The 17,858-nt window shown below is 38.4% G+C and overlaps 1 long non-coding RNA gene across 2 annotated transcripts; it reads right to left on the minus strand.

Annotated features, from left to right (window-relative positions):
- Positions 1 to 14,140: 14,140 nt before the first annotated feature.
- On the minus strand, positions 14,141 to 16,952 carry LOC105372035 (uncharacterized). 2 transcript variants are annotated; one of them, NR_188008.1, is made up of 3 exons: positions 16,768 to 16,952; positions 15,319 to 16,200; positions 14,141 to 14,349 (listed from the first exon to the last, which is right to left on the minus strand). It is a non-coding gene; the product is annotated as an uncharacterized LOC105372035 (long non-coding RNA). The 2 variants fall into 2 exon arrangements; NR_188007.1 differs by lacking the exon at positions 14,141 to 14,349 and adding an exon at positions 14,615 to 14,791.
- Between the last annotated feature and the right edge of the window lie 906 nt (positions 16,953 to 17,858).

The raw sequence follows: 17,858 nt of genomic DNA on the forward strand, positions 1-17,858 counted from the left end.
GGAAGGAAACATTAGGTTGCAGAACATGGCAGATGGTAGTGGGTCCTCCTCTTTGTCTCAATACCCTTAACGTCTCAATTCCCTTCTTTTTACCCCTTCTTCCAATGCCTTCTCATCTTCAAGAGGTGATATTTTGGCACTGTTCAGAAACTGGCATTGGACAAGTTAAAAGTATGTTTTTGTATTATTTTCCACCAAGTTTGTCCTTTACTAGGGTTGTCTTTAAGTGTTGCTGTTACTGACCTACTGTCTGCAGGGCCTGTGCCTTGAGTTGTGTATGTAGTAGTGAAGAATTAAGCTTGAGTTTGTGAAACTCTCTCACCAGTCTCCCCTGTGAATCTGGCTTTGCATTTGTAGGAAAATTATGGGGGTTTCCCAGAAGACTATGTATTTCCTGGAAGACTGATGAGATTGAGAGAGTTCATGACCAGGGTACTAACTCCTCTTCATGCAAAGGAAACTGTTTATTTTATTCTATTTAAAAATCAGGTTTAAACCTCAGTCACTTCTCATTAGCATCATTCTATGTATGCTCAGTTCAGTTATAGACAAAATATTTTACTACCCAGCCAATTCAGCCACAACTGGAATGAGCACTGTGGGGATTATATGGATGAGTTAGATAAAGTCTAAGAGCTCCTGGGGCTCAAAGTCTCACAGAGGCATTTAGTGATTCTAACATGAGAAAACTGTGAAACATGCCATAATGAAAGTATGAATGGATTTCATTGAGAGAAATAAAGGAGAGAGAGGACGCTCCAATTAGGAAGATGCCTTGGAGTAGAAGGAATTAGAGTCAGGCCTTGGAGGAGGTATAGAACCATAATGGCCATGGCCCATAGTCAGGGCATTTCAGGGGGAAGGGATGGCCCAGATGTATGCACAGAGGCTGAAGGGAGTAGAACCTGCTCTAGGGCAGATAATAATCCAATGAGGTTGGGCTAAGGGTGTGTGGAAGTCAGGTAAGAAAAGGGAGTATGGTTTCAGTAAGATTGGAGATGGAGGCTGCTGTTTTATCATGGATGGCGTGACTACCACAGTAGGGGATGATGAAAAGTCAGCATTGTTTTTGAACAAGAAAGTTGTTGAGATTGTTACGTTTTAGAAAGACAATTCTGGGGGCAAGGTGGAGAGTAGGTGGCATGGGTGAGGGTGGAGGACAGGACAGACGAGCTGGAGTGTCCAGTCACGAAGGTACAGCAATTATTCAGATGAAAACTCATAAATCATGACCTAGGAAAGTGATCATGGGAAGGAAAATGAGGCCATGGACTTGGAAGATGTCAGGGCCCACGGAGAGGGAAGTATGAATAACTCTGAGGTTAAATGAGATTGGGAACATAAGGGAAGTAAGAAAGGAGAACAAAGTTTACTTTTAGTAAGAAGATGAAGGCCACGCGTGGTGGCTCATGCCTCTAGTCCCAGCACTTTGGGAGGCCAAGGTGGGAGTATGACTTGAGCCCAGGAGTTCAAGACCAGCTTGGGCAACATGGTGTAAACCTCTAAAAAAAAAAAAAAAAGAAAGAAAATTCAAAAATTAGTGGTGTATGCCTCTAGTCCCAGCTACTCAGGAAGCTGAGGTGGGAGGATCACCTGAGCCCAGGGAGGTGGAGGCTGCAGTGAACCAGAAGCAGGACACTACTGCAGCCTGGGTGACGAAGTGCAACCTTGTCTCAAAAGAGAGAAAAAAAGATGAATAGCTCATTTTTGAATATGCTGAAGTTTGAGTGTGTACATGTTCAGCCTGAGAGGTGAACTTGCTCTTTGAGAGCTGGGATATGTCTCATTCGCCTTTGTAGCCTTAGCACACAACAAGGCATTTATTTAATTATTCGTTTATTCATTTATTCATTCAACCAATATTGATTAAATGACTACTCTGTATCAGGACCTGGCATGTAATAGGAGCTGAATAATTGTTTGCTTAATTGAACTAAACTAACTTTTATGGATCCTCACCTAGTTAAGTTGTCATTCTATTGAGAACTTCTACTTGGTAGACTTTATTTGGTAGGACCGTTAGTTTAATGGGGACTGGGTGAAGGAGTGGAAGCATAATGATAACTGTTTCATAGGAGGGGGAGTTAATGACTTGTACCTGCAAGGACCAGATCATGGGCTTACAATGGGAGTTCAGCCTGCCTTCCGCTGTGTGCCCCAGCTTTGAAGTAGACAACACAAAAGTCTTGGGGAACTTATTTATAGACATTTTCCAAAAGCAGAGGGAAGGATGGAATGGGTGGGTTGCATGAGTCACTTAGGTATTCCTGCCTAAATCAGAACCCTGTACTTCATAAGATTAACCGTATTCATGCCTCTTTTTTTGTATGATTTGTGTATTTTCTTCATACTTTTAAGTTACATTTTTCCTTAGGTGTTGACATTTTTCAAAATTTCAGTCTGTCTTTCTTATGCGAGTGAAGGAAAACAAAGCCATCTTTAGGTGATTCGTTTCTATTTTGGGTTGGAATTTTATGTGGAGAGTAACATACTACCCAGACTAGGTATTGTGGTGTCAGGGTCCTAAAGAAGGAATATGCACTAGGGAAAGTGTAGGGAAAAGTCAGGCTCAGCTGCACAGAATCCTTTTCTACGAGGGAAGTTCTTTTCCAGAGGTCTTTTCTCGGGCATTGGAGATGTTGTGTAGCGTGGTGATGGGAGTCAGGGTGCTGGATTGGAGTAATCCTGATCCTGATTATATGTACTCATGCAAATGATTCATTCTTTTAGGCGTCCATTTTCTCATCTATAAGAGAGATAATTATACCTGATTCACCTTCTAACATGCTAAATGATTTGCCTAATTACTGTGTTATTTTTTATCCCCCCTAGAATGTTAGCTTCTACAGATAAAACTGGGGCAGAGTTTTATTTGCATTGATCCCTGTGTATCCCATGTGCTGGGGACATGGTTACCTTGGAGGTAATTTCAAGGCAAAGGAAGTAGAGGAAGTGGGAGGAATAATTGGGGTGGTAAAAGGACAATATGTTCCTGAAAGTCAATGTAGAAAGGGGTTTCATGAAGAAGATGGCAACAGGGCTGGATACTGAGGAGAGACAGAAGGGAAAATCCAAGGATAGGTCTTTGGATTTTGTAATTAGGAGGATACTGGTGCCTTAGAGAAGCCAAAAGCCATTGAAAAACCCAATAGTCAGTGATAAGAAGGCTAAAGAGATGGAAGGATGTGGTGACAGTGAGTTACAGCAACCCTTTCCAGAAGCTCAACAAAGAAGAGGAGCGGGATGGGACTTAATCTTGATGACAAAAAAGGTTCAAGGGAAGAGTTGTATTTTTATAATTTATTTATTTTTATTTTATTTTATTTTATTTTATTTTTTTGAGATGGAGTCTCGCTCTGTCACCCAGGCTGGAGTGCAATGGTGCAATCTTGGCTCACTGCAACCTCCAGATCCTGGGTTCAAGTGATTCTCCTGCCTCAGCCTCCTGAGTAGCTGGGATTACAGGCACACGCCACCACACCAGCCAATTTTTTTTTTTTTTTCAGTAGAGACAGGGTTTCACCATGTTGGTCAGGCTGGTCTCAAACTCCTGACCTCGTAATCCTCCTGCCTTGGCCTCCCAAAGTGCTGGGATTATAGGCGTGAGCTACCATGCCTGGCCAAGAGTTGTATTTTTAAACCAAGGAAGGAAGGTGCCCAGGGGCAGGGAGAGGCGGAATATGTGAGGAGAGGCAATTATTATTAAGTACCCGAGGAGGGAAAGAGTGAGATAAAACCCTGAGGGAAAAGGTTAGTCTCAGAGGACACTTCTGGTTGAATGTGATTAAAAGGGGGAAAACCATGAGAAGCAGGGAGATTGGAAATTTAAGAGAGAATAATTAAAGGGTTCAAATTGAAGTCATCTAGCGTCTCAGTGAAGTAAGAACCAGATAATATGGCTGTAGTTTGGTGAGGACTTGCAAAGGGTAGAAAAGTTTTCAAAGAGCTATACAGAGAATCTCAATAGGGATCAGTATACATAATTGATGAGATGGCTCAGTGGACAGAGACAAGTGGAATTAGATGGCATGGACATGCTGCAGATCCCATCTACTCAGTTATGTGAACTTCCCCCTCAGTAATGCTCTGTATTCAAAATGGGGCTCAAAAGCAAAATGGCTGACTCGAAGAATGTGAGATTAAAAATTAGAAGGGAAAGTATGAAGGTGGGTAAACGGGTCCTGGAAAACCACGATCTTATTGAAAGTATGACTGAGAAAATGGACAAAAGTAGTAGAGGATTCAGCGATAATGTAAAGATCAAGGAATTGAAAGCCCTGAAGACAAAGACTAGATTCAGCAGCAGTGAGAGGGATGGAAGAGGCATAAAGTTAGGTGTGTTTATCTGATTAAATCATTCTTTTTGTTTTCAGAAAAGAAATGTGGAAGTAATGAAGTTGGAATTTATGGATTATTCCAATGAAAGCAGTCCTTTGTCCTTTTTGGCACACAAGTATGCGTTACTGTTTCTGGGTGATAATAACTTCTAGTTAGACTAGAAAGAGCTGAAGAAAGCATTTTTCTACATCAATGTGTAACAATGAGAAGAGGGAGGTGGGGAGTAGGGGTGGGGGATAACGTCAGTCCTCATCTCAATCATTATGATCATGGAAATTAATTGTTGGGAAGGGAATCTCGAGTTGAATTTCCCCTGAAGTTCTTTTCCAGACATATGCTAAGTTATAGCAGGGTTTATTCTAAGTAGCTTTTATTTCCTCTTTCTTCATCTGTAGCAGAAATTAAAAGAAGTGTCTTTAATAGAAAGCAAGATGCCATCTTATTAGTCATGGTGCCCTAAATCTATTAGCTTTGAGTAGGCAAAGTGGCAGTGATTCTGATATGCCTGACATTGTCCAGTCACATTTCTAACAGCATTTAAGGAGGTGGTCAAAGTCATGTATCTCTTTTGACCTTGGTAAAAATTAATAGTGTAATGCCTAGTCTGCCTGTATCTAAAACCCATCTACAAAAAAGTGATAAAGCAGCCCATGTTCTCAAGGAAGAGGATACAGGTTCTGTCCAGCAGCCATTAGGTGGTGCTGCCTAACCAACATTCCCTTCCCTGTTAGGTCACCTACATGAGTCCTGTTGCCTTTATTGTGGATACAATGGAGAATATTATGTGATTCACTTACAAAAGGTGGAAGTGGCTGAAATTTCTCTATCACCTCTGTGAAACCTATCAGATTCTCTTTTTTTCTGGAGAGTAGTCAATAGCTGCTCTAAGGAGGCAGCAGACACGAAAATGGCTGCTCAGACTGAAAAGCAAGCATTGATATTTGAGTAGCACTTTCCACTTTACAAAGAATTTTCACATGTCAGAGTTCCTGGAATATTGGAGGTAAGCACTCATGACATTTTTTGAATGAATAAGTGGAGTACTGTAGGTAGAGAAAATTAATTCTATATTGACTTCTGATAATGTAGAAATTACATCAAAGTTAGTTTATGAAAAAAGGTATATGTTTCTGAGACAACATGCATGGCTATTGATAAATGTGACACATAATAACACTTACTCTACTCATACTTATTCTATTGCAGGGCTATTATGGAAGTTACCTTATTAGCAGAAAATTGAAAAACAATAACAATAAGAAATTTTTATTAAGAGCATATTCTCAGGCTCTCCTTATTTCCAAATGGTGTCTTCATTGAAGAATTTATTCTCCATTACATAGCTATATATATGACTTTTCTTTTTCTATTTTCAAAAATGTGTTTTTTAATTGACAAAAATTATATATGTTTATTATGTACAACCTAAGTTTTGAAATATGTATACATTGTGGAGTAGCTAAATTGAGCTAATTAACATACACATTACCTCACATTGTTATTTTTTTGTGGTAAGAACACTTAGAATTGACTTTCTTAGTGATTTTCAAGAGTATAATACATTGTTATTAACTATAATTACCATGTTGTTCAATAGGTCTCTTGAACTTACTTCCTCCTGTCTAACTGAAATTTTGTATCCTTTGACCAACATGTCCTCAGCCCTGACCCCTACCCCAAACCCCTGGTAACCACCATTCTACTCTCTGTTTTATTAGTTTGACTCTTTTAGATTGTACGTATCAGTGAGATCATATGGTATTTGTCTTCTGTTCCTTGCTTATTGCACTTAACATGATGCCCAGGTTCATCCAAGCTATACCAAATGACAGCATTTTATTCTTTTGTAAGACTGAATAGTATTTTATTATGTATATACTACATTTTCTTTATCCATTCATCTGTTGATGAACACTTAGGTTGATTCTATATCTTGGTTCTTGGGAATAATGCTGCAATGAACATCAGAGTGCCAGTATCTTTTCAACATACTGATTCCATTTCCTTTAGGTATATACCCAGTAGTGGGATTGTTGGATCATATTGTAGTTCTATTTTTAATGTTTTGAGTAACCTCCATAGTGTTTTCCATAATGGCTTACTAATTTACATTCCTACCAACAATGCACAAGGACTCTGTTTTCTCCACATCCTCTTCAACACTTGTTATCCTTTATCTTTTTGGTGATAGCCATTCTAACAGGTGTGAGGCGGTATCTCATTGTGGTTTTAATTTGCATTTCCCTGATAATTAATGTTGAGACTTTTTCATATAGTTTTGGCCATTTGTATGTATTTTTTTGATAAATGTCTACATTTTTATACCTTTTTTTTGAAAGTTTTTCTTTTTATCTTGAAGGGATGTTGAACTTTGTCAGCTGCTTTTTCTGCATTTATTGAGATGATTATATGTTTTTGGTTTTTCATTCTGTTAATGAGGTATGTCACATTTATTGATTTGTGTATGTTCAATCATCCTTGCATCCCAGAGATAAGTCCCACTTGATCATTGTGAATAATCCTTTTAATGTGCTGTTGAATTTGGTTTGCTGGTATTTTGTTGAGGATTTTGCATCAATGTTCATCAGGGATATTGGCCTGTAATTTTCTTTTCTTGTAGTGTACTTGTCTGGCTTTTGTATCAGGGTAATAGTGGTCTCATAAAATGAGTTTGGAGGTGCTCCGTCCTCTTCAATCTTTTGAAAGAGTTTAAGGATTGGTATTAGTTCTTTAAATGTTTGGTAGAGTTCAACACTGAAGCCATCAGGTCCTGGGCTTTTCTTTGTTGGGAAACGTTTTATTAAGGAGACTGAGTCAGTTTCCTTACTTTTTATTGGTCTGTTCAGATTTTCTACTTCTTCATGATTCAGTCTTGATAGGTTTTATGTGTCTAGGAATTTATTTATTTCTTGTAGGCTATCTGATTTGTTGGCATATAATTGTGCATGGTAGTCTTTTACAATTTTTTGTATTTCAGTGGTATCAGTTGTAATGTCTTTTTTTCATTTCTGATTTTACTTAAGTCTTTCTTTCTTAGTCTAGTTAAATGTTTTCTGAGTTTATCCTTTCAAAAACCAACTCAGGGTTGTTGATATTTTCTACTTTTTTCAATTCTCTCTCTCTCTCTTTTTTTTAACCTAATAATTTTTTTTTATTATACTTTAAGTTTTAGAGTACATGTACACAACGTGCAAGTTTGTTACATATGTATACATGCGCTATGTTGGTGTGCTGCACCCATTAACTTGTCATTTACATTAGGTATACCTCCTAATGCTATCCCTCCCCCCTCCCCCAACCCCACAACAGGCCCCGGGGTGTGATGTTCCCCTTCCTGTGTCCATGTGTTCTCATTGTTCAGTTCCCACCTATGAGTGAGAACATGCGGTGTTTGGTTTTTTGCCTTGTGATAGTTTGCTGAGAATGATGGTTTCCAGCTTCATCCATGTCCCTACAAAGGACATGAACTCATCCTTTTTAATGGCTACATAGTATTCCATGGTGTATATGTGCCACATTTTCTTAATCCAGTCTATCATTGTTGGACATTTGGGTTGGTTCCAAGTCTTTGCTATTGTGAATAGTGCCGCAATAAACATATGTGTGCATGTGTCTTTATAGCAGCATGATTTATAATCCTTTGGGTATATACCCAGTAATGGGATGGCTGGGTCAAATGGTATTTCTAGTTCTAGATCCCTGAGGAATCGCCACACTGACTTCCACAATGGTTGAACTAGTTTACAGTCCCACCAACAGTGTAAAAGTGTTCCTATTTCTCCACATCCTCTCCAGCACTTGTTGTTTCCTGACTTTTTAATGATCGCCATTCTAACTGGTGTGAGATGCTATCTCATTGTGGTTTTGATTTGCATTTCTCTGATGGCCAGTGATGATGAGCATTTTTTCATGTGTCTTTTGGCTGCATAAATGTCTTCTTTTGAGAAGTGTCTGTTCATATCCTTCGCCGACTTTTTGATGGGGTTGTTTGTTTTTTTCTTGTAAATTTGTTTGAGTTCTTTGTAGATTCTGGATATTAGCCCTTTGTCAGATGAGTAGATTACAAAAATTTTCTCCCATTCTGTAGGTTGCCTGTTCACTCTGATGGTAGTTTCTTTTGCTGTGCAGAAGTTCTCTAGTTTAATTAGATCCCATTTGTCAATTTTGGCTTTTGTTGCCATTGCTTTTGGTGTTTTAGACATGAAGTCCTTGCCCATGCCTATGTCCTGAATGGTATCGCCTAGGTTTTCTTCTAGGGTTTTTATGGTTTTAGGTCTAACATTTAAGTCTTTAACCCATCTTGAGTTAATTTTTGTATAAGGTGTAAGGAAGGGATCCAGTTTCAGCTTTCTACATATGGTTAGCCAGTTTTCCCAGTAGATGGAATCTCACTCTGTCAGCCAGGCTGGAGTGCAGTAGTGCAATCTCAGCTCATTGCAACCTCCACCTGCCAGGTTCAAGTGATTCTCCTGCCTCAGTCTCCTGAGTAGCTGGGATTATAGGCACATGCCACCATGCCCAGCTAAGTTTTATATTTTTAGTAGAGACTAGGTTTCACCATTTCAGCCAGGCTTGTCTCGAACTCCCAACCTTAGGTGATCCACCTGCCTGCCTGTATTCTCTCTTTCATTTATTTTTGCTATGGTCTTTATTATTTTCCTCCTTCTACTAACTTTTGGCTTAGTTTGTTCTTCTTTTTCTAGTTCCTTGAGGCATAACATGAGGCTATTTATTTTAGATCATTTTTCTTTTTGATGTATGTGTTTATTGCTATAACCTTCCCTCTTAGAATGGCTTTTGCTGCATCCCATAAGTTTTTCTATGTTGTGTGTTCATTTTAATTTGTCTCAAGATATTTTTAAATTTCATCCTTGGCCCATTTATTGTTAAGGAGCATGTTGTTTGATGTCCATCTTTTTGTGAATTTTTCAAGGCTCTTCCTGTTATTGATTTCTAGTTTCATAACATTGTGGATATAATTTCAGTCTTCTTCAATTCATTAAGACTTGTTTTATGGTTTAATATGATCTATTCTGGAGAACATTTCATGTGTTCTTGAGAAGAATGTGTATTCTATTGCTACTGGGTGAAATGTTCTGTATATATTTGTTAGGTCTATTTAGTCTAGTCTAAAGGTTATTGTATTCTAGTCTATAGTCTATGAAGCTTATGTAAAACACTTTATAACAGGCTGTTTTAAGCTGATAACAACTTAACTTTGATTGCATATACAATTCTATACTTTTATCCCACCCCACCCCCAATTTTATGTTTTTGATATCATAATTTACATATTTTTGTATTGTGTATCCTTAAATTGTAGCTGTTACTATTTTTTTGTTATGTTATTATTTTAAATAATTTTTTTCTTTTAACTGTCATAGTCATGATATGTTATCTGCATACCACCATTACTGTATTAGAGCATTCTGAATTCAACCATGTACTTTTACCAGTGAATTTTATACTTTTATGTGTTTTAATCAGCATTACTTTTTTTCCAGCTTGAAGAATTCCCTTTAGCATTTCTTATAAGGCAGATCTGGTGGCAATGTACCTCCTCAGCTTTTGTTTGGGAAAGTCTTTATCTCTTCATTTCTGAAGGACAGTTTGCCAGGTAAATATTCTTGGTTGGCAGTTTTTTGTTTTTTGTTTTTTTTCCCTTCAGCACTTTGAATATACCATCCCATTCTCTCTTGGCCTATGTGGTCTCTGTTGGGAAGTTCACTATTAGTCTTATTGGAACTTCTTTCTTTATTATTTGGTTCGTTTTTCTTGCTGCTTTCAGTATTTTCTCTGTGTCTTTGATTTTTGACAATTTGATTTTAATATGTCTTGGTGTAGTCTTGTTTGGATTGAATCTGATTGAAGAATGTTGATCTTCTTTCTCCTTGATATTTATATATTTCCCCAGATTTGAAAATTTTAACTTTCTACTTCATCTCTCTTCTCTTCCTTTAATTCCTATAACTTGAATATTTGCTCTTTTGATGCTGATACATAAATATTGTAAGCTTTCTTTATTACTTTTCATTTTTTTCTTTTGTCTTCTCTGTACATTTTCAAATAACTTGCCTTTTAATTTGCAATTTCTTTCTTCTGTTTTATTGATTCTGTTGTTGATGCCCTCAGTTGCATTTTTTATTTCATTCATTGTATTTTTCAGCTTTGAATTTCTGTTTGGTTTTCAAAAATAATTTCAATCTCTGTTAATTTTCTCATTTTGGTTATTTATTATTTTTCTGATTTTGTAAAATTGTTTCTCTGCATCTTCTTGAAGTTTGCTGAGCTTACTTAAAACGATTCTTTTGAATTTTTTGTTGGGCAGATTGTAAGTCCCCATTTCTTTAGGGTCTGTTACTGAAGCTTTAATTTGTTTCTTTGGTGAGGTCATGTTACCTTGATTGTTCTTTATCTTTGTGGTTATGCATTGGTGTCTGTGTATTTGAAGAAGTAGGGACTTATTTCAATCTTTGCAGACTGGCTTTGTCTGGGCAATCCCTTTACCAGTCAACTCATCCAGAGACATGTGTGTGGTCTGGAACCTGGGGCTACTGGGGATCACCTGGCCTTGAGGCTAGTGTGGAGCCCAAGTCTGGGAGAGTTGTCCTGGTACTGGGGCCTATCCAGAGCCTGGGGATGCTGAAGTCAGTCTGGCAGTAGGGTATACTTGGGGACTGAGTCTCCCAGGCAGGCCTGGAATCTGGGGCTATAGGATCTGGACTGGTGCCAAGGCAATTCTGGAGGCTCAGCCTGGCAGGCTGGCCTGCAGTCTGAAGCCACAGGGTGCTGCCCAGCGCTGGATTTTACTGGGGCAGGCTCAGTGTTGGAGCCTGAGGCAAAGTCTGGTGCTCACTTTCATCTCTTTCCCCCACATAAAGGGTATCTGTCTTTATTCTGTACTGCCTGGGATTGGGGGAGGTTGTCATGGGTGGGTAATGTGAACTGTCCTTCCTACCTTCTTTTCTTTTTATTATTTATTTATTTATTTATTTATTTTTGAGACAGAGTCTTGCTCTCGTCACCCAGGCTGGAGTGCAATGGCATGATCTCAGCTCACTGCAACCTCTGCCTCCTGGGTTCAAGTGATTCTCCTGTCTCAGCCTCCTGAGTAGCTGGGATTACAGGCACCCACTACCATGCCTGGCTAATTTTTTTGTGTATTTTTAGTAGAGACAGGGTTTCACCATGTTGGCCAGGCTGGTCTCAAACTCCTGATCCCAGGTGATCCGCCTGCCTCTACTTCCCAAAATGTTGGGATTACAGGCGTGAGCCACCGCGCCCAGCCTACCTTCTTCAACACATCTTTTCTGTGCTACACCCAGATACTGTAATCACTCACTCAGTTTCCTTAGCTCTTGTGAAGGTATTTTTGTGCCTGAATAATTGTTCAAATTGATGTTTCTGCAGGGGAATGAGCACTGGAAAGTGCTATTTTGCCATCTTTCTTGAGTCTTTTCGCTTCCCGTCTACATATACTGCTCTCAAATGATTTTGGGGAGTAGGCAAGACAAAAAGTTCCTAAACACAGTATGAACAGTTTATTTTACCATCCTGAAAGTGTTTTTATTTATCCATGAAATCCACAAAATTTAACTGAAATAAGCAATGTAACTTTCTAAGATATTCTGTGACTAGCTTCTAAAAACTTCTCTATGCAATATTATCTTGGGAAGGAAACGTAAACTTTGATATTCTAGCTCTCACTCTGAGATGCACCTGATAGGTATTTTAGCCTGACATGGTCACAAACTCCAGGAATTGTTTTAGGCTGCTCCTTCTTTTGGGGACCCTGAGAGATTAGGTGGATTCACAAATTCTTGTATTGTCTTCTGCTGGGGTTTGCTGATTCTATAAAGGGAACCCTACTGTGTCTAAGGTTCTTCAAGTTCCATTCTAAAAACACTTGGAATGGTGGAAGTTGTGGTTCATACCCAGAATGTTTCTAGGAATAGTAACATAAAATATCTTTGAAATTTGAGAAAAAATACTAAGATATCACAAAAAAGATAGTATCCTACACAATTTGAATTATGTAAATAAGAAATAAAAAGTATTCCTCATCTGTTCTTTCTGATACCATTCTCCATCAGAAGTAGTCCTTGTTAAGTATGGTATATATCCCTTCCAACTCTTTCCTATGTTGCTATATTTCCTATAGTTCTATACATCTATTTGACTATTTTTCTTTGCATATGCAGCACACATACACAACAATTTTCTTTAGTATCTTTTTTAAAAATAGAAATAGCTATATAGTATTTCATTGTGCAGATGTATCACAATTTATTTCACCTTTTTTCTATTGATGCTCATTTTTGTAATATTCACTTTTTTTTGGCTAAGTGCTGCTGCAGTTAACATCCATATGCACCTGTCTTTTCATTCTATGGACTTTTAAAATTGAAGATGCTGTGTATGAGGGAGAAAAGTATGACATAGTACCTAATATTTAAACTCACTCAACATTTATGTCTTTATCAATATTACATTGTTGATCACCCTTCGTAATTTTGTGCTGGGGTCAGAGGATGACCAATGCTTCCAGCTCTTTGAGGTGCCCCCAGTCTAGGCTCCAACTGAATGCAGATTTTAAAACCCTCTGTTGATAGAGTGTGATGGTGGATAGGGAATAGTTCACAACTCCCTACAATTTTACACTCTCCCGCACCTCTTAGAATTTTTCTCTGAGAGTGTTATGTAGTCATCACATCAAGAAAGCTTTAGCTATTCAATTAGTGGCTGCATATCTCTTTTCCTTGTTTAAAAGTAATATTTAAAAAACAATGGCTGGGCATGGTGACTCATTCCTATAATCCCACTGCTGTGGGAGGCTGAGGCAGGGGATTACTTGAGCCCAGAAGTTCAAGGCTGCAGTAAACTATGATTGCACCACTGCACTCCAGCCTAGCTGGCAGAACAAGTCCATGCCTCAAAAAAAAAAAAAAAAAAAAAAAAAAATTTCTTTAGAGAAAACATGCCATCTTTTTCTCCCACCCCTTCCTTTTTTTCTTCTCTCCCCATCTCTTCCTCCCTTCCTCCCCCCATTCCTTTCTCCCTCCCTCCTTCCTATCTTCTTTCTACCACCTTGAGAACACAACTTTATTTATCAGTTAAACTTCCCATTTAGAATGCTTGCATTGGAATTACATTTTGTTAAGGAAATTCTGGAGTTTAAAATAAAAATAAGGAAGTGGACAATATGCTTTTTTCTTTGATATCTCTTTTTTAGTAAGTCAGGATTAATGGAGTCCCAGGTGGTTACCAGCTCTTAAAAGTGAACTGTAGTACAGTGCATCCTAAGATTTCCTCTTAGAACTCTGCTAAGACAAAGATGACTGTGCCTTGTGGCAGTAAGCTATGGTGATCCTGGCAATTTTCATCATAATGGTATGATTTCAAGGTGACTCACCTTTCATGGTGGATCTTTTTTAGAATTTAGAGAGAAAGTAGTTTGACCAAGATGGTTAAGTTAAGGTAAATGATTGCAGTAATTATTCCTAATTAAATATCACCAGAGGGATGATAGGTATATCAAAAAGGAAAGCCTCCTGAGATGGAGGCAAGTAACGTTGTATTATAGTATCCACATTTTAGGAAGTGTTTGCATAGACATGGTTTAACCTGGATATTTTATAATCTGTATATATCAAACCACATCATAAAAAGTTTTATTATAGTTATGGGGAAAATTAATTTATGAAATTAATTAGGTTAATCAATGATTATCTACTTAACAGAAATTTTTCTGATGTGTCATTGGCACATATATCTGACACAGGGACATATATTAGAGCAAATACATCAACTTTTTCTTTAATGAGTACACTGATCAGATCATATGTGGTTTACCTGCTCCAGTTACCTTAAGTATGAAATAACAAGATTTGGCTCTGTTGATCATTAAAGGTGGCCCATTAGGTCTGGCTACTTAGAAATCCATTTGTGGTTGAGGCATTTTTCACAGTGGCACCTAGACAATCTCAGGACCATTATCCGGGCTCTGATTATCTACAGAGAAATAGTCACAGATTCTCTGCATGACAAGAGTGAAGCATGTTGCTATGTTTTGTTTTCCAGAATCTAAGATATAATAAATTACACCCAAGCAATAATCAGTGTTCCCGATCCTGTCTGTGATTTGCCTTTATTGTTTTCCAAGAGGAAGCCTCACACATGCAAAGCCATATGCTCTATCACTTTTCAAGTTGTGGTGTCTCATCTGGGAGTGATTTGAGCCCCTGCCCCTCAACATTTCTTTTATGACTCCAAGATTAAAAGACCATATTCAATCTTATTTTTATTATATCTTTTTGGGGAGGCACAAAAGCAGTAACTCTTAGCAGAGGAGGAACTTGTATGCCATCTGACCTAGAAACAGATGCTACTGATTGGGAAGATCACAAGCAAGGATATACACAGTCTTTCTGTATCTTTCAAAGTAAAGATGGCCCTGACAATAGAAAAGGAGAAACTACCTCAGTACCATCCCAAAATATCATTTCATGTGTAATAAAATGCAATTATTCTTCTTTGACCAAAATAAAACCCTTAGTGGATCACCCAATCAAAAAAGTCAGTTAACGTACAGAAGCGTAAAAATAGCTTACACAAATCTTATGTGCTGTGGCTCATGCCTGTAATCCCAACATTTTGGGAGGCCAAGGCGGGTGGATCACTTGAGGTCAGGAGTTCGAGACCAGTCTGACTATCATGTTGAAACCCCATCTCTACTAAAAATACAAAAAAATTAGCCAGGCATGGTGGCAGGCACCGGTAATCCCAGCTGCTTGGGAGACTGAGACAGGAGAATCACTTGAACCCGGGAGGCAGAGGTGGCAGTAAGCCGAGATCGTGCCACTGCACTCCAGCCTGAGCTACAGAGCAAGACTCCATCTCAAAATAAATAAATAAATAAATAAATAAATAAATAAATAAATAAATAAATAGAAACCCATAATTATACACCAATTCACCAACCTTGTGAAGCAGGAAATGACCTTGTTCTTGAGTTTGGTTCTTCTGATTAATGTTCTTCATTGGCTCTCACAGACAAGTGACACCTACACAGCATCATTGGCCATGTGAAGCTTCAGTTTCTTAGGTGAAGGAGGAACTTACAGAAACTTACAAAGCAATCTAAGACCACTATTCTTCCCATTTTTAAATGATCTGATTTCCTTCCTCAATCTTTTATGGTTGTCTTGGTCAAACTTAAGATGACAGTATTTATTTTTAAGGTGACCTGACTTTATTGTCTCTTTTCAATGCATTTGATTTGGTTTTTGTAGAGGAAGTAGATCTTTTGTTCTTCATATCCATAATAATTGCTTTTAATAATATTTAATGAGACTGCATAATGACAGTAATAAGTACAACTGGAATGACTGGATTTAGAAATAGAAATCTTCACATGTTGCTAGGCATACAAGGCAGGGTCTGGGACAGAATTGTATGGATATACAGCACTAGCGAGTGGCCTAGCAGTTGTGAGAATTTGGTATTCCATGGGTACCAAACAGCAGGTTTTATAGAAGGCAGTGAGAGCTCCAACAAATCTTTCCTACTTGATTAAAGGCTGGTAAAGAGACAGTTTTTGAGTTATTATCATCAAGTATGTAGGTTCTGGTAGGTCAACAGCTGTATCAACATACAGAATGGCAGCCCTTGGATAATGCCCCGTGTCTTTAAGCAAATGTAGTTTAAAATCCCTTAAAATCCGGTGTTGTTTTACAGATCCAATGAATCTATTCACGCAATAGAAATGTATAAATCAACAAAATCTGCTTATTAAAACACTTTTGAGTAGATGGTATCTCACATTATGTAGCTCTTTCACGTTTATTTTTCTGTTCTTTTTTCCTAAAAGAGATATGCATTATAAGCAATGGGAAATAGCTATATTCAACAATAGTAAAAAACCCTCAATGTAATTTAATGTTGGAAATCAGTACTGTATGTCCTGGATTGAATTGAGAGGTGGAGATGAAGACTTTTGTTGCCCTAGGTACACTGGAAAATGTTGTGATGCCTGCAAGCCTGAAGTCAGCCAAAGGGTATCCAGTCACTACACGTTTTCATTGCTCCTAATACTCTTTGGCTCTAGGCTACTGCCTCTTTTGCCTAATGATAGGGCTAACCTTGACCAGGAGCCCTCTGAACCTTTCCCAAGGGGTTCCTCGGTGCTTATTCACCCTTTGACATCAACCTTCAGAGTATATGAAATAGAAATCTTAATGAAAGAAGGGAGGGCTGAGATTTTCCTGCGTGCTCATCTGGCTAAACTCCTAGCATTTTATGTTTATACTTGATTTTTAAGTCATCCTGAACTCTATTTGCAGCTCTGCTCTCTTTTATCTTTTCTTGTCATCACAACCTTTACTACAAAGCTTATTTCAAGGGAAAACTGTTAGAATTCAAATCACTTACTCCTGTTTCACGCTCGTCTGTTTGTTTGGGATTCCAGCTGACAAGATGTCCTTCAAATGATTGCTTTTAGTAAAATCAAAGTGACTTGAGGACCAAAAATTTTGATAACTGAATATGTGTTTTAGACTACTTCAGGGGTTTCTCTCGCAACTTGGCTGGATAAGTGTGAAAACAGAATTGTTAGTGATGAAGAGGGCTGAGGCCTGTATTCTAGATTGTTTGCAGAATTCTAAATCACTACCAGGAAAGGGCTCAGAGAAAGCCGTCACTTTGTGAGACCTCAGAAGCAACCTGGAGCCAGGTCTGTGGTTGAAGAATGTTTCCAAACTGGGGTGATGGCTATGGCTATTTTTTTTTGTTGTTGTTGTTATTGTTGTCAGATGCCTCAGGGCGCCAACAAATGAGAGTGGGTTGTTGTCCTTAGAGGGTGTTTTTTTTTTTCTCTTCAATTTCTTACTTTGGGGAAAACTCTGGAAATGCTGTGTGTTTTTGGAGATTTCCAGGGGTTATTGTAGGAAGGGTAGAAGACTCCCCCATCCACACTGGGGTGACCCTCTGGGAAGGGTAGAAGACTCCCCCATCCGCACTGGGATGACCCTCTGGGTGCCACCGACTTCCCTGTCTGCAGACCCTCGGAAGCTGCTGTTCCGGCTCTAGTGGAAGTGACTCCTCATGATTAGAAAAGGCATTTTCAGCACAAAACTCTATAGTTTTGCATCATGCTGCCTTACTCTTCTTTCCATTAGGGTGAACAAATGTTTTATAACAACTTATCAGGTATCTACTTGTCACCTATAATAAAAACGCTGAGCACTTGCTATGGACAAGGGATGGTGCATATGTGCTTTCCTTTAATTCTCTCAATAGCTTTAGTGATTTCATCATCCTTCTTCTGTGAAGGAGAGAAATGAGGTTTAGAAAGATGAAGTTCCCACAGCTGGTAAGTGGCAAAGCTGGGATTGGATTTAAGTACAGTTCTATCTGGCTCTCCAAACCGGTTTTCACTAGGAGACATGTGTAACTCTCTCAGAGTGTCACTGGGAAGAATTATTCAGTATTATGCACTTTGAGTTAGAGAAACGTAAGCACAT

The sequence above is a fragment of the Homo sapiens genome, chromosome 18 (assembly GCF_000001405.40).
Source record: "Homo sapiens chromosome 18, GRCh38.p14 Primary Assembly".
In the NCBI taxonomy this organism is placed as follows: domain Eukaryota; kingdom Metazoa; phylum Chordata; class Mammalia; order Primates; family Hominidae; genus Homo; species Homo sapiens.